General features: G+C 44.2%; 2 long non-coding RNA genes and 2 pseudogenes across 2 annotated transcripts, besides 1 other annotated feature; 2 read left to right on the top strand and 2 right to left on the bottom strand.

Annotated features, from left to right (window-relative positions):
* The first annotated feature begins 97 nt into the window (after positions 1 to 97).
* Positions 98 to 3,290, top strand: LOC112268017 (uncharacterized). The gene is made up of 3 exons (XR_002956672.1): positions 98 to 218; positions 2,365 to 2,708; positions 3,167 to 3,290. It is a non-coding gene; the product is annotated as an uncharacterized LOC112268017 (long non-coding RNA).
* On the bottom strand, positions 2,025 to 8,020 carry LOC105379244 (uncharacterized). The gene is made up of 3 exons (XR_001745645.2): positions 7,832 to 8,020; positions 6,597 to 6,862; positions 2,025 to 2,217 (listed from the first exon to the last, which is right to left on the bottom strand). It is a non-coding gene; the product is annotated as an uncharacterized LOC105379244 (long non-coding RNA).
* Positions 6,630 to 6,924: a silencer, noted in NCBI's record as "tiled region #12781; HepG2 Repressive DNase unmatched - State 12:CtcfO". NCBI's record gives its function as "represses a minimal TATA promoter and a strong SV40 promoter by Sharpr-MPRA in HepG2 cells {active_cell/tissue: HepG2}" and the evidence as "EXISTENCE:reporter gene assay evidence [ECO:0000049][PMID:27701403]".
* On the bottom strand, positions 14,642 to 14,713 carry TRE-CTC11-1 (tRNA-Glu (CTC) 11-1; annotated as a pseudogene).
* Positions 21,021 to 22,016, top strand: OR7E161P (olfactory receptor family 7 subfamily E member 161 pseudogene; annotated as a pseudogene).

Below are 23,131 nucleotides of genomic sequence, written 5' to 3'. Positions count from 1 at the left end.
CCAGCCTGGGCAACATAGCAAGATCCTGTCTCAAAAAAAAATAAAAATTTGTTTTAAAAGAACTTTTAAAAAGAAGACAAAATGACTTAAAATGGATAACAAAAGCGACCTGAATCCGTGGGACCAAGACCATAAATATCAGGGAGAGCTGCAAGGGGCTGTGTGCAACTGCTTGCACCACAAGAAGCGGGAGAGACCGTCTAGACTTGCAGTGGCAGGTGAGCCCTGGAGGGCCCCCGAGATAGTGAGGTCCTCGGATGCAGGAAAGGGGCTTGTTCTTTGTATTCTCCAGAACTAGCAGAGTCCCAGGAACCTCCTAAACTGCTGAAGAAGAGGCGCAGGATAGAGCCTGAGAGGTGTGGGAGAGGAGGGATGCAGCGGAGGAAGTGGGCGGCCTTGTTTTCAGGCACCATCCTGCCTGTGTGCCCTGGGAAGGGAAGAAAGGGAGGAAGGAGGTTTCCAAAGCTGCTGTGGCCACCCACAGGCTGAGCCACCTCGCGTCCCTGCTTCCTAGCGAGATTCCTTGGGCCCCGCCAGTTACTCTAATGACTCTGATTTGCCCCACCATCACACTCCCGGTGATTCTGGGCACCGGTCTGGCGCCGGTGTATCCCCAGCACTGCCGCCGCCGTGAGCTGCATCCCCCTCCCAGGCCCCAAGAGCGCCTCTTGCCATCACTGTCTGCCCATTGGGTCTGCTCAGAGCTGTGCACCCACTGCTGGACCCCACCCCAGAACAGCCATCATTGCGGAGGCTTCTCTGGAGGGGCGGGAGAGGCCACAGACAAGCTGTCGGGCTGGGTATTATTGTCCAGACCTGAGAGGCCACTTATCTGAGCAGCCCACACAGGGAAATGAGATAGTCCAGCACTACTTTTCCCACTAATATTCTTATCTTGACTGGAAAGAATACTGTGTTTGTGTGTGAAGACGTGCGCATGTGATTTTGCAAACTCCTGTGTGTGTCTATTTGAGTGTTTTCATCCCATGACTTCTGACCACATGTCTATACATTGGGACCATTTTCTGTGAATCATGTCTGCCTGGGGCGTGCTGTATGAGAAGGAGACGGCAAGAAGGGAGACAAGAAGTGGAGGATGCTAAGGAGAAAGACAACAGTCAGAGGGAAAAAACATTTTAAAAATGGAAAACAACTAGTTTCGGTAAAAGGATGAAGCAATGGGTATTTTCATACACTGATTATGAGGGTGTGTATTGATACAGCCCTTATGGAGAGTAATCTCTAAATGCTAAAATGTTGAAATGTTAAATGTGTCTTCTCTTGATTGGAAGTGTACCTTCCATATCTTCCCAAGAGAAATGCTTGCATCTAGACACACAGAAATATGTACAAGAATGCTCATGCAGAATTCTCTGTAGTAGCAAAAATTATAAACAACCTAAATGTTAATTGACAAGGCAGTGGTTAAATATAGTATTTTGTTGTTGCTTTTATATCTTTCCTTTAGTTTTTTTCTTTGTTTCTTATATCTGATGTTTCCTTAGATAAATTATATTATAGCACAGTATAACAATGCTCTGGAATACTATGTACCAGTCAGAGAGAACAAGAAAAGTCTTTATACCAGAATGAAAAGATTCCCCAAATATGTAAGTTTTTAAAAATTGTAAAATGTATATGGATTATACCATATAAGCAACAAAAAGGAAAAAGCACATATATATGTGTGTGTATGTGTGTATATATATCTCGAGAGAGAGAGAGAGAGCAGGAAGGAGTAAATGCTAAAATGACAGTGGTGGTCACCTCTAAAAGGAAGGACTAGAATTGAAGGTGGGAAAAGTATCTTTTGCTTTCTGTGCATTATCTGAATTATTCTACAATGGAAGTAAGTTTCTGTAATACTTATGAAATTATAAACACTTTTTGATTTTTTAAAATCAGCAAGAGTAGAATCCAGTCACTGTAGATGCTACGATCTAAACAAAAGCCAAGAAAGAAAATAAATACCTTGTTTTCTGTGGCAACTGTGATGTAGCCTGATTCCTCTTCTCCAGGTGAGGTGGAGAGGGACACAGGAGCAGAGGCAGGTGGGAAGAAGGCAGCCGCAATGCCAGGACATCCTGGAAAAATAGCTACCACTGCAGAGAACTCGGGGTCGGGGGTGGCTGGAAGTGTTCCTCAGTGTTAAATTCAGAAAAGGGTTTAATTTGGGTCAACATTGTGTCTTTATCAATGGCGAAACTGAGGCCTGGACTGAGAAAAATGAGGTAGAGTATCACACCCAAAGTAAAAATTAATTTCTGCAAGTCTACAATTATTTCTCTTTCTCTCTGTGTAAGTGGAGGAGGAGAGGGAAATTCAATCTGTAGACACCAATGAGTGTTCATTCCTCCTCCCAAGGAGAAATTCTGGCAAAGTTCTTGAATGTGAGCCGACCCACAGATACTGACGGCCAGCACGATCCAAAATCTAACTCTATGAGGAGAGAGGGGAACCAGGAAGCCTAGAACCAGAAGCTGAAGACTAAAGCTCCCAGCGCCTACTGAACCACCCCATCCCAAATCTCCTTGTCAAGATGGCAACTTTATTCAGAAGGGGGCTTCCAAGGTTAAACAGAGCTATTGAAGAAGAAATCATCCCTCACGCCTCCACCACAGGCCCAAAGAAGAACTATAAGAGGATCCTTTGGAAAATGAGATTGAATTTTGCTCTTGTGGCTACAAGGAATAGAACCAGCATCAAGGGTACATAATGTAATAGTTCTTTCAACTAGTGTCTGTGAGTAGATAAACTCCATCTTTGTATGAACATGTTTTTGGTTTTTTGGGTTTATTTTCCCCCCGTTATTCTCGAGCAGTACCCAGTTTCGTTGGGTATAAAATTCCAGATCACCAGTCATTTTCCTTCAATGCTTATTCCATTGTATTCTGGTTTTTTATAACTGTTTAAAAGTCTATTGACCACCAAAATGCTGTGCCTTGGCCTGCTAATCCATTCTTTCTCTCTAGTTGCTTTAGAAATTTTCCCCCTATCTTTGGTATTCTACAATGCACATGGAAGTCAATTTTTTAAAACCTTTTTAGGACTTGTGTTTCCTGAATCTAAGGATATCTGTCCTTCATCAATTCTGAAAAGCTCTCAAGTATTATCGCTTCAAATATTGCCTTTCCCTAATTCTTTGCATTTCTCCCTTTTGCCTTAGTTTAAGTTCCTATGAAAGCAGAACCTGAAAGGAAGACTTGAGTTAATTTAAGAGGTGATCACGGTGAACAGAAGTGATGGAATCAGAAGAATAAAACAGAAAATCCAATAAAGTTGGATTATGAGCTGGCTACCACTGAGATTCACTGGGGTTCAGTCCTGCTGAGGATTCTTTGAGTAAATTAATAGAGAATGCCTTATATTGTCTCACCAAAGGACAATTGAGTTGATACACTTATCTACTTCTTCTCATCCCTCATTAGTTGAGGGCTGCTGCCAGCTGTGTCAACACCTTCAAAAGTCTGAACTGTTTGTGCATAAGCTAAATGGGCTTTTGCAGTGTTGGGAAAAGCCCAGAGTCAGAAGAACAGAAAGACACTGTGGTCTGCAGTTGAGAAGGGATGCCGGCATTGCCCATGAAATGTACATGAAATGTTGGCATTGAACTGTGGCTGCACAAAATCAGGTGGGTCAAGCGAATTAACACAATGCATTACCAGCATCATCTTCAAATTTATAGTGAAACTTCTCATTTGATCTTTCATATCTCTTGGCTTCATTTCTATATTTTTCATTGCTTTTTAGCTCTGAGCCTCATATGTGGCAGTTTCCTCAGATCTCTATTCTCATTTGTTGATTTTCTATTTAGCCGTGTGTAAATAGCTCATCTTTCTCATAATAGCATTTTCTTATAGTTTCAGCTCTCACATGTTTATTTGCTTGCTTTCACATTGTACCATTATCTCAGTATCTTTGGCAGTAATCCTGCTATTCATTGTGCCTACTGGCTATCATGGCAGGATATTTTTCTATGTGTTTTGTGATGTATTTTCAGTGTGGATTTATTGAACTTTAATTTACTGAACTTTAATTTATTGAACTTTAATTTATTAATTTATTGAACTCTAATTTACTGAACTTATTTTCAGTGAGGATTTACCACCGCACTCCTTGCCATTCTATTGTAGAAATTTATTGAACTATTAATTTATTGAACTTTAATTTACTGAAGTTATTTTCAGTGAGGATTTACGAATTCACTTATTCACTTATTTCAGTGAGGATTTACCACCCCACTCCCTGCCATTCTATTGTAGAAATTCTACACACTGGGAAGAGAATCATGTACTTTACTATTTGATTCTTCCAGATGCTCCACGAAGGATATCATAAACTTGGGATCATTTTTGTCTATTGTGATAAAATACACATAGCATAAATTGACCATTTTAAACACTTTTAAGTGTACAGTTCAGTGGCATCAAGTATATTTGCATTGTTGGACAACCGTCACCACCATCCATTTCCACAACTTTTCCATCATCCCAAACTGAAACTCTGTGCCCATGAAACACTAACTCCCCATTCCACTCTTTCCCAGCCCTGATAACCACAATTCTACCTTCTGTCTCTATTAATTTGACTATTTTAGGTACCTCATGTAAGTAGAATTATACAGTATTTGTCCTTCTGCATCTGGCTTCTTTCATTTGGCATAATGTCCTCAAGGTTCATCCATGTTATGGTATGTATCAGAATTTCCTTTCTTTTTTAAGGCAGAATAATATTCCATTGTATGTATATTCCACGTTTAGTCTGTCCATTCATCCATGGATGGATATTTGAGTTGTTTGGACCAATGTTTAAGTGAATTTCTCAGCTTAGGTTTCGGTTTATTACATGAGAGATATTTTTTCCCCACCGAGAGCCTAAGCAACTGAAGTCTCCCTCACCAGCAGGTAGGATTTGTCTGGTCCCCCATTCACTGAGCAGACAGCTTTTCAAGGGTCCTGACTTTTGCACAAATCTCAGATCCAGCTCCCCTTTCTAAGGCCTCATCACCTGTCCCCATGAGCGTGCATCAGAATGTGCCCCACCCAGGCTCCAGCTCCCGCACATCAGCTCTCACACTTGCCACTCTACCTTTCTTTTCGTTTCTTGTGTTTTTTTTTGTTTGTTTGTTTTTTGAGACGGAGTCTCACTCTGTCGCCCAGGCTGGAGTGCAGTGGCATGATCTCCGCTCACTGCAAGCTCCACCTCCTGGGTTCACACCATTCTCCTGCCTCAGCCTCTCCCAGTAGCTAGGATTAGAGGCGCATGCCACCACGCCCGGCTAATTTTTTGTATTTTTAGTAGAGACAGGGTTGCACCATGGTCTCGATCTCCTGACCTCGTGATCTGCCTGCCTCGGCCTCCCAAAGTGCTGTGATTACAAGTGTGAGCCACCACGCCCCACCGACACTCTACCTTTCCATGTCCTCTTCATCTCTGGCGCCTGGGACTCCCCTTTCTTGATTTGAAGAAATGGTTTTCAATCTTGGCTTATATTTACATTCAACTGGGGACATTTTTTAAAATCCCAAGACACAACCCAGACCGATTACATTCAAACCTCTGGCATAAAAAGTGAGGTTTTAAAAATATATTATACAAATAATCATACAATAGGTACCTGGATATGTAAAAACTCATAAAGGTATAACTTGAGTTATCAAAATATCGTGAGCCCTGCTCTAGTACTGCTGCCTGTGTTAGGTGCTTCTGGACTCTGGTTCTAACAGTGGGAGGTTGTGTTTGTGATCATTCTAGGCACAACTTTAATCTGGAAATAAAATAGTCATTTTGGCTTTCTCTTTCAGCCTCCTACCTGAGAGTTTCCCAATTCTAAGAACATTCTGATGTTCTATGCCACATCTTCCTATGGGGTATGAACAATTTTTCAATAATAGCAAATAAATGAGTCTTCTCAGTGTATCTTCATCTTGTCACTACTGTTGAAGAGCGTGATTCTCCTCTAGCCTATACATGAGCTTCGACTGCTGTTCAGTTACTCCAGTAAACTCCAGGATACTTATTAATGATGGTAACAGCAGCCAACAAGTATTAAGAACTTTTGCTATTAAACTGCCCTGCTACCATTGGGACCAAGAATCTGGACCACAAATTTTCCATTTTTGTTTTTTATTTTCCTTCCATAAATGTAAGTATACAATATATAATGAATATAAAGTATATACTATATAATAAATATATAGTATAATATATACTGTATATTATTACTATTAATATAAACTATATGTTTATTATGAACGATTTTAAACTTAGAGATAAGCACAGAAAAACAGACCTCAGTAGGACCACCTGAAAGATTTAATAGATGTCAATACTTTGGCACACTGGTATCGGATCTTTTGAAAGAGAAACCAAATTGTGGCCAGGCATGGTGTCTCACGCCTGTAATCCCAGCATTTTGGGAAGCCAAGGTGGGAGGATTGCTTGAGACCAGGACTACCCTGGGCAACATAGTGAGACTCCCATCTCTACAAATAAGTAAGTGAAAAAAGAAATGGTTAAAGATAAAACTAAAACCCTTACCACTCCTTCACCCCTACCGAACCCAAGGGTAACTACTATCTTGAAGTTATGTTTACCATTTCCAAGCGTATTTTTCCTCTTTCTACGTGTGCATATATTCATAAATAGCCTATGATGCATGTAAATTTTCTACACAAATTCGATTGTGTTGGAATGACGGGGAGTGACCGAATGGCTGCCTGCTCACGTGCAGCCCCTGCTTGCTCCAGTAGATGTCACTCGGGTCCCAGTCGGCGAGGGCACAGCTGTTCTGTTCTCAGCAGCGAGTTTGGGATTCCCTCTGTGGTAGTGCTGACTTGCTTTGCAGTCTGAGACTGTTCACCTGCAAAATGCAGTAGCTTTATTTTTCAAAACGTAAAGTAACATCGGAAACAATGACACCTCGAATGATTTCAGTTGTGACTGGGTGCGGTGGCTCACGCCTGTAATCCCAGCACTTTGGGAGGATGAGGCAGGTGGATCACTTGAGGCCAAGAGTTCGAGATCAGCCTGGGCAACATAGCAAGACCCGCATCTCCAGCAAAAATACAAAAATTAGCCAGTCTCATAACCCGGTCTCAAAATACATAAATAAAAATTTAAAAATAAAATTTAAAAAATTAACAAAAAGAATGATTTCTTTACCAGAGAGAAAGCTCAAGAGAATGCAAGCACAGGGCAGAGGACGAAGAGCTGCGTTCATGTCCCTCTTGCTCAGCCGAGCAGCAGACAGGGCTTGGGCTGGCCAGGCCCCCCCCGCCTCAGTGCCCTCCTCTGAGAATGGAAGAGTTGGACTGATTCAGGGGTGGCAAATCATCCCATGTCACATGCCGCCTCTTGTCCATTGACAGTGGCTCCCTGGAGGCTGCTCTGGGCAGAGAAAGAAAAGGTTCAGTCCTGGACCAGCAATAGAGGGGCATGAGAGGGACAGGGCCGCATGCATGCTGCTGACCCAGGAGGCCACCTGAGGCCCTCCCAGCATAAAACCCACCTCCTGCCCTCCCCTGTGTGCTGGGGAGCAGCCCAGAGATGCAGACACACGGCCAGGACCATGCTCCCATCTGGGTTGCACACAGGTGTCATTATTTTGGAAGTGGTGTGGCTTACTTTCAGGCCCAGGAAGGCTTAGGAAGCTTGACCTCACAGGTGACAGACTCAGGACCAGGGAGCGCAGAGCCTGAGAAATATCCCCAGGTGCTGTGTGTGCTGTGATCAAGCTCTGGTCTTTCCCACCTGAAACCGCCAGCAGATTAACCCTGGCCCCCAGGTCCACGGCAGAGCCTGAACACACATCCACAACTTCCCCACTCACTCAAACTTGCCAACAGATCCAGCAAATTTGGTGAAACAAAAACAAGTCCAGAGAAGTAAGTGCTGCCAGTTTGATATGGTTCCAGGATGCAGTCATGGCCGGTGTCTTCCTTGGGACATCTGTTGGTCCTAGTGACTGGCCTGGAGGCAGGGGCATGGACAAACTGGTCCCTAGGGCACACTCCAGAGGGCTGAGAGCCCCACTGGCTGAGCCAAAGGCACCAGCAGCCTCCCTGCCTGCTCCTCCTCCTGGCCCCTCCCTGACCTGCCCTCTTGCTGGCCTCAGGGCCCCAGGGGAGGCCTAAAGAGGCCGTGGGAGTTTGGCTACCATTATCCGGCCCTTATCACCACTAACGTTCAAGCTGACACTGAGCCCACTTAGTTCAATGACAAGGAGCTGACCTGGGGGTCACGCCTGTCTCCAGAGAGCCGGTGCTATCTCGGTGACCTGCGGAAACCTTGGCATGAGCTCATGTTTTCTGACGACAGAGGACCCCAGCCATATCACAGGCCCGCGCCCCCACCCTCCGCATCTGGCATGAGCCGGGTGAAGGCTTTACCATTACTTACTGAAATAGCAACACTGATAACCACAGCAGACACAAAGCGCATTGATGAATTTCCATTCAGAAAAGCACCTACTCCGGCCCTGCCCACTGCCTGCCTGTGTCCAACGCGGTGGACAGCCAGGCACAGGCAGAGCCCTTCTTGGACACAGCCCCAAAACATCACCACCCCCAACCCAGCCCCCGTTGTTCGGGAACAGGCCTCAAAATCTGGCCATAAACTGCCCCAAGACTGGCCAAAAACAAAATCTCTGCAGCACTGTGACATGTTCGTGATGGCCGTCACACCCATGCTGGAAGGTTGTGGGTTTACCAGAATGAGGGCAAGGAACACCTGGCCCACCCAGGGTGGAAAACTGCTTAAAGGCGTTCTTAAACCACAAACGATAGCATAAGGGATCTGTGCCTTAAGGACATGTTCGTGCTACAGATAACGAGCCAGACCCATCGCTTTACTTTTGCCCATCCCTTTATTTTCCATAAGGAATACTTTTAGTTAATGTATAATCTATAGAAACAATGCTTATCACTGGCTTGCTGTCAATAAATACATGGGTAAATCTCTGTTCCAGGCTTTCAGCTCTGAAGGCTGTGAGACCCCTGATTTCCCACTCCACACTATATTTCTGTGTGTGTGTCTTTAATTCCTCTAGTGCCACTGGGTTAGGGTCTCCACGACTGAGCTGTTTTCAGCACCCCGTGAAGATACGATGTGTCCATATGCCGTTAGAGGAATATGTATCCCGAGAATTCATGCTACAGCGCACTTTCTCCTCACTTGGGAAAATGCCTTCAGGATAGAAACCTTGTTTGATACATTTGTATGTTCCGAAATTGTCCCCCGCCTCACCAGCACAGGCTGTTCAACATAAACGGGCTGGGTTGAATTGAATCGGGCAGTGTTGACAGAACACAGGACCAGGAAGCAGGTCACCCAAGCTGCTGGCCCTGCCATGGCTCCTGGTGGACGTGAGGGAGGTGAGTTTCCTGTCTATGCTCCAGGTGGAGTTACATTATATGGTCTTAAGATCTGTCTATTAAGAAGAGCACTTAGTGCATTTACATTTAATGTCATTACTGACATATTTGAGTTAAATCTACCACTTCTTTTGTAATTTTCTTTTTTTAATTTAATTACTTATTTATTTATTTATTTTTGAGATGGAGTCTCACTCTGTCGCCAGGCTGGAGTGCAGTGGTGCGATCTCTCCTCTGCCTCCCAGGTTCAAGCGATTCTCCTGCCTAAGCCTCCCAAGTAGCTTGTACTAGAGGTGTGTGCCACCATGCCCATCTTATATTTGTGTTTTTAGTGGAGACAGAGTTTCACCATGTTGGCCAGGATGGTCTCAATCTCTTGACTTCGTGATCCCCTAGCCTCAGCCTCCCAAAGTGCTGGGATTACAGGCATGAGCCACTGCGCCCACCTCTTTTGTGATTTTCTGTTTGTCCTGACTGTTCTATGTTTGTTTCTCTGTCTCTTCTTACCATCACTTTTTTTATTTTTTATTTATTTATTTTTTTGAGACAGGATCTCGCTCTGTTGCCTAAGGCTGTAGTGCAGTGGCATGATCTCAGCTCACTATGGCCTCAACCTCCTGTGTTTAAGCAATTCTCCTGCCTCAGCCTCCTGCATAGCTAGAATTACAGGTGGAAGCCACTACACCCAGCCAATTTTAAAATTTTTTGTTGAGACGGTTTCACCATGTTGACCAGGCTGATCTCAAACTCCTGGGCTCAAGCAATCCACCTGCCTCAGCCTCCCAAATTGCTGGGATTACAGGCATGAGCCACCACACCTGGCTCTTCATCACTTTATTTAATTTTATCATTCCATTCTTTCCCTCTACTAATTTGAAAAGTATATGCGCTATTTTATCATGATTACCCTAGCAATTAAACATACAGAGTTAACTTCTCATCAAAGTGTAAAATTGAGTGCTATTGACTGCGAGTGGTGGCGCTTGCGTGTAATCCCAACATATTGGGAGGCCAAGGTGGGAGGATCATTCTATCTCAGGAGATCAAGACCAGCCTGGGCAACATAGCAAGACCTCATCTCTGCTCAAAATAAAAAGTTAAATAAATAAATAAATAAAAATTAAAAATGAGTAGGGTGTGGTGGTAGTGCACATGTGTGGTCCCAGCTACTATGGAGACTGAGGCAGAAAAATCACTTGAGCATGAAAGGTTGAAGCCATAGTGAGCTGTGATCATACCACTGCACTACAGCCTTAGGCAACAGAGCGAGATCCTGTCTCAAAAAAAATAAATAAATAAAAAATTAAAAAAGTGATGGTAAGAAGGAGAGAAAAACAAACATAGAACAGTCAGGACAAATAGAAAATTACAAAAGAGGCAGGCACAATGGCTCACACCCGTAATCCCAGCACTTTGGGAGGCTGAGGCAAGTGGATCACGAAGTCAAGAGATGGAGGCCATCCTGGCCAACATGGTGAAACTCTGTCTCTACTAAAAATACAAATATAAGATGGGCATGGTGGTACACACCTGTAGTCCCAGGTACTTGGGAGGCTGAGGAAGGAGAACCGCTGGAACCCAGGAGGTGGAGGCTACAGTGAACCAAGATCGTGCCATTTGACTCCAGCCTGGGTGACAGAGCAAGACTGCATCTCAAAAAAAAAAAAAAGAAAGAAAGAAAGAAAGAAAGAAAGAAAGAAAGAAAGAAAGAAAGAAAGAAAGAAAGAAAGAATTTGATTACCTTCCGAATTCTATTATAACCTTTTTTGTCTGGCTACTTTAAGATTTTTTTCTTTGACTTTGGTTTTCTTCAGTTTTATTAAGATGTGTGGAAGTATGTTTTATTTATTCAGGTAGCGATTTATTCTATTAGATTTGATTTGTGGATTTGAGCGTTTTATCAATTCTAGAAAATAATTAACTATTATCACTTCAAGTATTGCCTCTATTCTATTCTCTTTTCTGGGATTCAACTAAACTTATTCTGTCTTCTATATATCTTATCCTTTCTTCTCTGTTTTCCATTATCTCATTTCTTCATGTCACATTCTGCTTAATTTCTTCTGGATAATTTCCTACTCACTAATTCTCTCTTTAATTGCTTCCAATCTGCTGTTACGCCCATTCATTACTGAACTTTTAATTTTCAGTTATTGTATTTTTCATTTGTACAAGTTCTTTTTGCTTCCTTTTAAAATCTGCTGTGTTTCAAAGTCATTGAAAGAGAAGGAAAAAAAATCTGCTATATTGCTCTTGAAAGTTTCCTGCAGATATTTCCTAGCTTCTTCTATATTTCCTTAAGCATGCTAATTATATTTTTGGTGGGTTTTATTTTTTTGTGTGTCAGTGGGAGAGTCCCTCTCTGACTATTCCAGCAGTCCAAGCATTTGTAGGTCTGATTCTCTTGCCTGTTCTTTCTCCTGGTTCTCCTCACAGTACCTTATTTTCTTCTGGTGTCAGGTTACCTTTCATTGTGTGCTGCTCATTGCACTAAAAATATATTTATAGTAATCATTTCAGGTCCAGGATGACACTACCTTGCTCCAAAAACGATTTTGCTTGCCTCTGCAGGGTGCCTAGAGGCTCCCATTAATATTGGTAATATCACCCTCTCACCTTCCAGATTTTAGGAACAATATCACAGAAGGGGTGTACACTGCCTGCGATACTGGGAGTAATAGCATTCTCTTCTTCCATGAATATGAGGAGCAATATCACCGGGTGGATGTACACCCACTGCTATACTGGGAGTAACGTCATACTCCACCCCCTGGAGATTATATTCGGATAAATATCACCGGGTGGGTGTACACCTACTGTGATATTGAACGGAATATCATGCTCTCTCCCTCCCTGGACATTAGGAACAATATCACAGGTGGGTGTACACCCACTGAGGTATTAGGCGTAATATTAGTATTCATTATTACTCATTTATTATTCATATGAATATGAATTACCAATATTAATATTTAGAAATAATTGCTACTAAAAAGTTTTCAGGTTACTAATATTAATATTATTAGGAGCTAATATTACTGTATTCTAATGAATAAGATCAGTATCAGTTATTAATATGGGGTGTTATTAATCAATATCAATCATTTATTGTTATTGTTAGTATAACTATTTAATATTCATTATCATTATTATCGGCATTGATTTTAAAATTATATTATCAGTTATTAATACTGATAATTATAATTAATACCAATAAATACTAATAATTATTAGTAGTAATTAACAATTGATACTATTAATTGATATTAATTCATAATTGATATTAATTCCGATAAGTAATATTGCGCCATTCCACACAGTATCGCAGAAAACGTACACGCCCCCTGTGATGTTGTTCCTAACAGCCAGGGGTAGACGATGCCATTACGCCAAATAACGCACCGGGTGGGCATCCCTTCTGTGATCTTGTAGCTAATATCCGGGCGCGGAGAGGACGGTATTAATCCCAATAATCCAGAACGTGTAGACCTCCCCTGTGTTATTGTCCCTAATATCCGAAGGTGGAGAGGAAGATATACCTCCCAATTTCTCAGGGGTTGTACACCAACCCTGTGACATTGCTCCTAATGTCCAGGGGTAGAGAAAATGACATGACTCACAATATGGCAGGGGGTGAACACCCCCTTCATGATATTGTTCCTAATATTCAGGGGGGAAGAGTATGATATTCCTCCCAATATCACAGGGGGTGTACTCCCCATATCCCAGAGGGTGGATAGTATCCCGATTTGTGATAGACTCCTCCACGATGCGGGGAGTAATGTCATCCCCCTCTCCTTCCCTTGCTATTACGATATACATCGCAGCGGGGCGGGCAACCCCCACGATGCGGGGAGAAATATGACCCCCCCCACCACTGATATGACGAGCCACATCGCAGGGGGGTGGACACTCCCAGTGATGCGGGGAGTCATATCTATCCCCTTTCCCCATGGATATTAGGAGCCACATCGCAGGGGCGTGGACACTCTCCGCTGATGCGCAGAGTAATTTCAATCCCCGTCCCTCCCTTCATGTTACCAGCCACTGTGGACACACAGTGTATTTACCATATTTCCAGTAAGATCATCTTTTCCATTGAACCTTATGAACAAGATCACAGAGGGGTGTACACCTCCTGCGATATTGGGGGTAATATCATTCTCTCCTCCACTGCATACTGGGAACAATATCACCGGTGCTTGTATTCCCCCTTCCATCTTGGGAGTCATATCATACTTGTCTTCCATATATTAAGAACAATAGCAAAGGGGGGGTGGACACTTTGACGATATTGGGAGTAACACCATTCTCTCTACCCCTGGATATTAGTAGCAATATCACAGGGGGATGTGCATTTCTTGTGATATTGAGAGCAGTATTATTGTCTTCCCCGCTGGATATTAAAAACAATACCACAAGGGGCGTCAAACCACCTGCCAAATTTGAGCGAGTGTTATCCTCTCCGCCCCCCTCCGCCCCCGGATATGAGAGACAATAACACAGGGGTAATGTACACCCACAGCTTTATTAGGAGAAGTGTCATCCTCTCCTCTCTTGGATATTAGGAACAATATCACAGCGGGGGGTGTACTGCCTCTGCGATATTGGGAGTAAAATTATCCTCTCTTCCCCTGGATGTGAGGAAGTGTATCAGAGGGGGAGGGTTAACATTCCCTGCGATATTCAATGTAATCTTATGCTCTCCCTCCCAGGGTATTAAGAACAATATTACAGGAGGGGTGTACACCCTCTGTGATATTGAGAGTCATATCATCCTCTTTTGCTCTGGACATTAGGAACAATATCACAGGGCTGTGTACACCCCCTGCGATATTGGGAGTAATATCATCCTGTCGACCTGAGGAGAGAAGCCATTTCTCTGCTGTCTCCTGTATCTGAAGAGAAGGAGGAAGTAAAAGTTGAAAAACAACAGGAATGAAGTCGGTGGCAAGACCAGCCGGTGGCACTGATGAGCCGGCCTGAGGTGAAAAGATTAACCACCCCCACTCTAAGCGCATGTGCTCTCAATCCATCACGATTCTTTCACGTGGAACCCCTTAGAGTTGTAAGCCCTTAAACGGGCCAGGAACTCTGTCTTCCTTTGGGGGTCGGGCTCTTAAGACAAGAGTCTGCCGACACTCCCGGCTGAATAAAAAAATCTCTTCCTCCTTCAATCCACTGTTTGAGGGGCTTAAAATCTCTTCCTTCTTCAATCCACTGTCTGAGGGGCTTATTCTGCAGCTCCTCCTGCTCCATTTCTTGGTTCACATGACTGGGAATCCAACCCAGGCAGCGGCACTGAGAGCGGCAAAGCCTAACCACTAGACTACCAGGGGGACCTAGAACCTTGTGGGAAATAGATTGCTCACAATTAGAAGTGGGTTGGCCATACGAAGGAAGCCTGGACATGTCCCTTGTTTTTAAGGTGTGGCACGAGGTAACTGGTAAAGGATACCTAGACCAGTTTGCATACATAGACACTTGGTGACAGCTGGTGCTAGACCCCCCACAGTGGCTAAGAGGGCAGGCAGCAGCAATACTAGTACCAAAGGGACAGATGGCTAAGGAAGGATCCTGCTCCACCCACCCAGAGAAATCAGCTGCTGAAGTTCTGCTCCAGCCAGCATCAGAAGATCCATTGCAGGAGATGGCACCAGAGATCCCAGTGGTGCCCTCCCCTTACCGGGAAAAGAGGCTCCCCACTCTTGAGCCATCAGTGCTTGCGCCTCTGTAAGACAAGCATATCCCCAGGCCACCCAGAGTAGACAAGAGAGGAGGCGAGGACTCAGGAGAAACCCCTCCCTTGGCAGCTCGTTTAAGACCCAAAATGGGGATCCAAATGCCCCTGAGAGAGCAGTGGTATACAGGGATAGATGAGGATGGTCATCTGGTGGGGAGGTGTGTTTTTGGGTACCAGCCCTTCACCTCTGCCCACCTTCTCAACTGGAAAAATAATACCCCGCCCTATACTGAAAAACCACAAGCTCTAATTGATTTACTCCAAACTAATATCCGGACCCACAACCCCACCTGGGCTGATTGCCACCAGTTGCTCATGTTCCTCTTTAACAGAGATGAAAGGTGGAGAGTGCTCCAAGCAGCAACTAAGTGGCTAGAGGAACACGCACCAGCTGATTATCAAAACCCCCAAGAGTATGGAAGGACCCAGTTACCAGGAACTGACCCCCAGGGGGACCCACATGAAAGAGAGGATATGCAAAGGCTAAACCAAGACAGAGAAGCTCTCTTGGAAGGATTACAGAGGGGAGCTCAGAAGGCCACAAACGTTAACAAGCTCTCTGAGGTCATTCAGGGAAAAGAAGAAAGTCCAGCACAATTCTATGAGAGACTGTGTGAGGCCTATGGTATGTGTACTCCCTTTGATCCCAATAGCCCTGAAAATCAGCGCATGATTAGCATGGCTTTAGTCAGTCAAAGCGCAGAAGACATTAGAAGAAAACTGCAGAAACAGGCTGGGCTTGCAGGGATGAATACATCGCAATGATTAGAAATAGCTAACCAGGTGTTTGTAAACAGGGAAGCAGTAAGCCGTAAGGAAAACAGCAAAGAGAATGAACGTCAGGCCTGGATAAATGCCAACCTGTTTGTTAGCTGCAGTAATCAGAGGGGTCACCACAAAGGGCAAGGGAAGGGGGGCCCCGGGAAAGAAACTCAGCTTGGCTGTCAGAGTTTGCAACGTAACCAGTGTGCTGATTGTAAAGAAATAGGACAGTGGAAGAACAAATGCCCTCAGCTAAAAAGAAAACCAGGTGACTCAGAGCAGGAGGCCCTGGACAAGGAGGAAGGGGCCCTGGTCAACCTGGCAGAAGTGTTTCTGGACTGAGGGAGACCGGGCTCAAGTGTCCCCAAAAAGCCTCTGGTCAGAATGACAGTCGGGGGTAGAGACATTGATTTTCTTGTAGATACCGGTGCTGAACATTCGGTAGTAACTACCCCGGTCGCCCCCTTATCCAAAAAGGCTATTGACATCATCGGAGCCACGGGGGTTTCAGCAAAGCAAGCTTTCTGCTTGCCTCGGACTTGTGCTGTAGGAGGACATAATGTGATTCAGCAGTTTTTGTCCACGCCTGACTGTCCCTTGCGCTGGTTGGGAAGAGACTTGCTTAGCAAGCTGAGAGCCACTATCTATTTTACAGATCACGGCTCTTTGCTGCTAAAGTTACCTGGAATGGGAGCCATTATGACCCTTACGGTCCCCTGAGAGGAGGAATGGAGACTTTTCTTAACTGAGCCGTGCCAAGAGTGAAGACCAGCTCTGGCTAAGTGGTGGCCAAGAGTACGGGCGGGACACAACCCTCCAGGGTTGGCAGTCACCCCAGCCCACATATTCATAGAAGTGAATCCTGGGGCCCAGCCGGTTATGCAAAAACAGGAGCGGGTCCCCAGAGAAGCCCTTCAAGGTATCCAGGTCCATCTCAAGCACCTAAGAACTTTTGGAATTAGAGTTCCTTGTCAGTCTCCATGGAACACTCCCCAGGTATCAGTGCTCCCTCAAGCACCTGATCTTGTACTTCTTCTAAAGAAGAAGAGGACTTTCTCCAGGTAGAGGGAAGGACAAGTGATGGAGGAAGGATGGATTCGGTTACCAGATGGGAGAGTAGCTGTGCCACAGCTGCTAGGAGCTGCAGTTGTACTGGCTGTGCAAGAAACCACCCATCGAGGTGAGGAGTTACTGGAAAAGTTGTTAGGCCGGTATTTCTACATCTCGCCTTTGTCAGCCCTTGCCAAAATGGTGAGGCAGCGGTGTGTTACCTGCTGACAGCAAGATGGGAGTCAAGGTCCAGCCGTTCCGCCCAGCATACGAGCTTATGGAGCAGCCCCCTTTGAAGGTCTCCAGGTGGACTTCACAGAGATGCCAAAGTGTGGAGGTAACAAGTATTTACGAGTTCTTGGGCGTACCTACTCTGGGTGGGTGGAGGTCTATCCAACATGAACTGAGAAAGCTAGTGAAGTAACCCCTGTGCTTCTTCGAGATGTGATTCCTAGATTTTGACTGCCGTTACGGATCGGCTTAGATAACGGGCCTGCGTTTTTGGCTGCCTTGGTACAGAAGACGGCAAAGGTATTGGGGATCACATGGAATTTGCATGACGCCTCCCGGCCTCAGAGTTCCAGAAAGGTGGAGCGGATGAATCGGACGATCAAAAATAGTGCTATTGTCTTCCCCAGTGGATATTTGAAACAACACCACAAGGGGCGTCAAACCACCTGCTAAATTTGAGGGAATGTTATCCTCTCCCCACATCCCCCGGCCCCGGATATTAGAGACAATAACACAGGGGTGATGTACACCCACTGCTTTATTGGCAGTAATATCATCCTCTCCCTTCTTGGATATTAGGAACAATATCACACTGTGCGTGTAGGCGTGTCGCGAAATTCAATGGAATGTCATCCTGCGCCTCCCTGGATATGACGAACAATATCACGGGGGATGTACAATTTCTGAGATATTGGGAGTGATATCATCCTCTCCCCTCTGGAAGTTAGGGACAATATCACAGGGGTAGTGTACACCCTCTGGGATGTTGGGACTAATATCATCCTCCTGCCCACTGGATATTAAAAACCATATCACAAGGGGCGTGTACACACACTTCGATATTGGTATGAATACCATCCTCTCCCTCTTTGGATATTCGGTGCCATATTTCAGGTGGGGTATACACCACCTGATTTTGGTGTATACACCAATACACCACCAATATTGGAAGTAATATGATTTTCTCCCTGTTGGATATCAGAAACAATATCACAGGGGGTTGTGAACAACCCCTGCGATATTTGGAGTAATATCATCGTCTCCCTTCATGATTATTAAGAACAATATCGTAGGCGTGGGGGGTGTACACCCCCTTTCATACTGGATATCGTCCTCTTCCCCCCTGGATATTAGGAACAATATCAGGAAGGGATGTACAGACCTGGCGACCTTTGCTGTCATAGAATTGTCTCTCCCCTAGATATTAGGAAAAATGTCACTGGGGATGTGAACAGCCCTGTGATATTGAGAGTAGTATCATCCTCTCCTCCCTTGCATATTGGGAACAACATCACAGGTGGGGTGTACTGCCTCTGTGATATTGGGAGTAAAATTTTCCTCTCTTCCCCTGGACATTAGGAAGGGTATCAGAGGGGGAGGGTGTACATTCCCTGTGATATTCAACGTAACCATGTCCTCTCCCTCCCAGGGTATTCAGAACAATATTACAGGAGGGGTGTACACCCTCTGCGATATTGAGAGTCATATCATCCTCTTTCGCTCTGGATGTTAGGAACAATATCACAGGGTTGTGTACACCCCCTGTGATATTGGGAGTCATATCATCCTCTCTCCCTGTGGATATTAGGAAGAGTATCACAGGGCTGTGGAAACCCCCTGCGGTACTGGGAGTAATATCATCCTCTCTCCTTCTGAATATAAGAAGATTTTCACAGGGGTGTGTACACCCTCTGCGATATTGGGAGTAAGATCATCCTCTCCACCCAGGAAATGACTAACAAGGTCATGGGGGTGTGTACTCCCCCTGCGATATTGGGAGTAATGTCGTCTTCCCCAAACCTGGATGTTAGCAACGAGATCACAGAGGGGCTGTACACACCCTGCGACATTGGAAGTAATATGATCCTCTCCCCACCTGGATACAGGGAAAGATACCACAGCGCGGTGATACGTTTCCTACGCTGTTGGGAGTAATATCATTCTTTTCCTTTCTGGATATTAGGAAGAATATCACAGGGGTGCTGTACAATTACTTCGATATTGGGAGTAATATCATCCTCTATTTTCCTGGATATTGGGCACGAAAACACAAAAGGGTGTACAACCCCTGCGATATTGGGAGTAATAGCACACTCTCCTTCCCTGGATGTTAGAAAACAATATCATCAGGGCTGAACACCCGCCGCGATAATGGGAGTCATATTTACTCTTTCACAGGCCATTTGGAACCATATCACAGGGGGTGTTTACAAACAGGGGTGGTGTACACCCCCTGTGATATTGGGAGTAACATCATTCTCTCCACCTCCGGATATTAAGAACAATATCCCGGCGGGAGGTGCTACACCGCCAGTGATATTGCGAATAATGTCATCCTCTCCTTCCCTGGATATTAGGAGCAATATCACAGGGGGGATGTACACCTTCTGTGATATTGGAAGCAATATCATCCTCTCCCCCGCTGGATATTAGAAAAGAATATCACTCACTGTGTACACCCACTGTGATATTAGGAAGAATATTGCAGGGTGTACACCCACTCTGACTTTAAGAGAAATAGTTCCCTCAAATGTCCCAAACAATATCACAGGTTATACAAGGATATTTCCCTAGGATATTACAAATACTATCACAGGGTGTACATGCACTGTAATATGAGGAATCGTATCTCCCTAGGTGATATTAGGAGTAATATCTACCTAGTAGATAACAAATAACATGGCAGGGTGTACACCCACTTTGATATTGGCTGTAATATTTTTCTAAGTTGTTACAAATAAGATCACCGGGGGTACCAACATGGTGTACACTCACTGTGATATCAGGAGTCGTATCTCTGTAATATATTATGAATAATATCACAGGGTGTACACCCACTGTATTATTAGGAGTAAGATCTCTGTAGGATATTACAATTAAGATCACAGGGTGAAGAGCCACCGTGATATTAGGAGAAATATCTTTCTAGGATATTACAAATAATATCACAGGGTGTACGCCCACTCTACTGTCAGGAGCAATATCTCCCTAAGATATCAAAAATCCTATCACAGGGTGTCCAATCTCTGCCTTCCAGGTTCTAAGGGATTCTCCTGCTTCAGCCTCCCGAGTAGCTAGGGTTAACGCCACCATGCCTGGCTAATTTTTTTTTTTATTTTCACTGGAGACGGGGTTTCACCACGTTGGCCAGGCTGGTCTGGAACTCCTGACCTCAGGTGATCCATCAGCCTCGGCCGCCCAAAGTGCTGGGATTACAGGTGTGAGACATGGTGCTGGGCCAGGAATTATAGATTCTGTTCATTTGGAAACACAGCTTCCATCTTTCAGTGTGCATGTACTTTTATGAAGAAATGATGTCAGAAAACCGAAGGATGATAATACATATGAAAAGTAACAGGCGTGTGAAAAGGTCTTCCGATTGAGAACTGTAAGGTTCGATTTCATTTTCAGATAATGGGGTCCTAGCTCTTGTGTCGTCCTTTTACATATTCTACATCAATGGAAGTTGTAGCACGGTGTCAGAATAAAATAGAGTGTATTTCATGGCTTCTTAATTTCTTTCAATTAGACTGAGATATTTTTCTTAAAGAGAGAAGGACATTTTCATTGCATTGTATTTTTTCTGAAAAGAGTAGGCCGTATTTTACTGAGATCACGGATTTGTTATATATGAAGTTTTAGTCTTCTAATGTTCTTCAGTGGATATTCTCTAAAGTAGTATATACAGAAAGCCTCGTATAGCAAAAAAGTAAATCACGTAATAATTCTGAGATTTTTGGAATTGTCACAACTGAGAAACATTGCTGGCGGTGTATGGTCCGCAAGTGTGAAGATGTTCCTTGTGAATTGCTTGCATCTAGCATTAAGGGCTGATTTTTAACTTTTATTTTTCCAATCCTCTTTCCTTCTCAAGGTGTCCAAGACACACAGGGCCACGGAATCTCACAGGTGTCTGAGAATTTCTCCTCTTGGGACTCTCAAAGGATCCAGAACTGCAGCCAGTCCTCGCTTTGCTGTCCCTGTTCCTGTCCATGTATCTGGTCACGGTGCTGAGGAACCTGCTCAGCATTCTGGCTGTTAGCTCTGACTCCCCGCTCCACACTCCCGTGTACTTCTTCCTCTCCAACCTGTGCTGGGCTGACATGGGTTTCACCTCGGCCACGGTTCCCAAGATGATTGTGGACATGCAGCCGCATAGCAGAGTCATCTCTCATGCGGGCTGCCTGACACAGATATCTTTCTTGGTCCGTTTTGCATGTATAGAAGGCATGCTCCTGACTGTGATGGCCTATGACTGCTTTGTAGCCATCTGTCGCCCTCTGCACTACCCAGTCATCGTGAATCCTCACCTCTGTGTCTTCTTCGTTTTGGTGTCCTTTTTCCTCAGCCTGTTGGATTCCCAGCTGCACAGTTGCATTGTGTTACTATTCACCATCATAAAGACTGTGGAAATCTCTCATTTTGTCTGTGACCCCTCTCAACTTCTCAAACTTGCCTGTTCTGACAGCGTCATCAATAGCGTATTCATATATTTCGATAGTACTATGTTTGGTTTTCTTCCCATTTCAGGGATCCTTTTGTCTTACTATAAAATTGTCCCCTCCATTCTAAGGATTTCATCATCAGATGAGAAGTATAAAGCCTTCTTCAACTGTGGCTCTCACCTAGCAGTTGTTTGCTGGTTTTAGGGAACAGGCATTGGCATGTACCTGATTTCAGCTGTGTCACCACCCCCCAGGAATGGTGTGGTGGCATCAGTGATGTACACTGTGGTCACCCCCATGCTGAACCTTTTCATCTGCAGCCTGAGAAACAGGGACATACAAAGTGCCCTGCGGAGGCTGCGCAGCAGAACAGTGGAATCTCATGATCTGTTCCATCCTTTTTCTTGTGTGGGTGAGAAAGGGCAACCACATTAAATCTCTACATCTGCAAATCCTGCCCCTTAGTCACGTTATTTTTGTGGCTTGATGGCTTTTATTCCTTTCCGCATTTCCTTTGTGAATATTGTTTTCTTCTTTATGTCTTTAACTGGAATGGGTGAGGATTCTGGGATCCTTTGTTTAGCTTAAACCTCATGACTGAATCATCTATACCTAGGCGGCCTCCTTTGGTTTCTGAGCAATAACCCTGTCATCCAGGTGGAATCACAACCATCTTTTTATATACGTGAAGTCCTCACTTCATTTTGGAATTCCTTGAAAATTGACTTTATGGAAACAATGTACAGCAGGTCCTCCAACACCACTGGTTCTTCAAAGTTGTGTAGTTATAATGTTGGAGAGGAATAAGTGGTTTCACTATACCTAATTTTGCCTCAAGGTGAAGTTTCCAAGAGACTTTCAAAGATGTTAAGTGAGGACATACTGTACATCAAATTCATATCCTCTTCCACAGTTCATGTGGAATTTCTTTATAAACTGCTTCTAGAGAATCTATTTAGGCAGGTTCTGTGTAGAGATCCATGTCGCCGTTCCTCAATCTTGGCTTTGAGTCAAATCACCTGGGGAGCTTACACATGATGAGGCCTGGGTCTCATTACCTGAGATTCTGATTTCTCTGCACCTGTGTGAGTGTGTGGATTTTTTTTTTTTTTTTAAAGCACCAGAGGTGGTTGCAATGAGGAAGTTTTTAGAGGCATCAAGCTCCAATGAGTAAGAACAGAAGTTAATTGTAATATGATTTCTTCAAATATTATCTTCCAATGCATTGTCCATCAACACCGTACCAATGTTTATTATGCTGTTGTTTCTTACCATTTAGCATTTTCTATTTTTTTTCTTTCTTTTTTTTTTTTTTCTTTTTGAGGCAGAGTTTCACTCTTGTTGCCCAGGCTGGAGTGCAATGGCACGATCTCGGCTCACTGCAATCTCTGCCTCCCGTATTCAAGTAATTCTCCTGTCTCAGCCTTCCAAGTAGCTGGGATTACAGGCATGCGCTACCATGCCTGGCTAATTTTATTTTTTATTTATTTATTTATTTATTTTTTGGTATTTTTAGTACAGACAGT

Source organism: Homo sapiens, chromosome 8 (assembly GCF_000001405.40).
Source record: "Homo sapiens chromosome 8, GRCh38.p14 Primary Assembly".
Taxonomy (NCBI): domain Eukaryota; kingdom Metazoa; phylum Chordata; class Mammalia; order Primates; family Hominidae; genus Homo; species Homo sapiens.
Note: the sequence above shows the minus strand (reverse complement) of the source record. Positions and strands in the feature narration are given on the sequence as shown.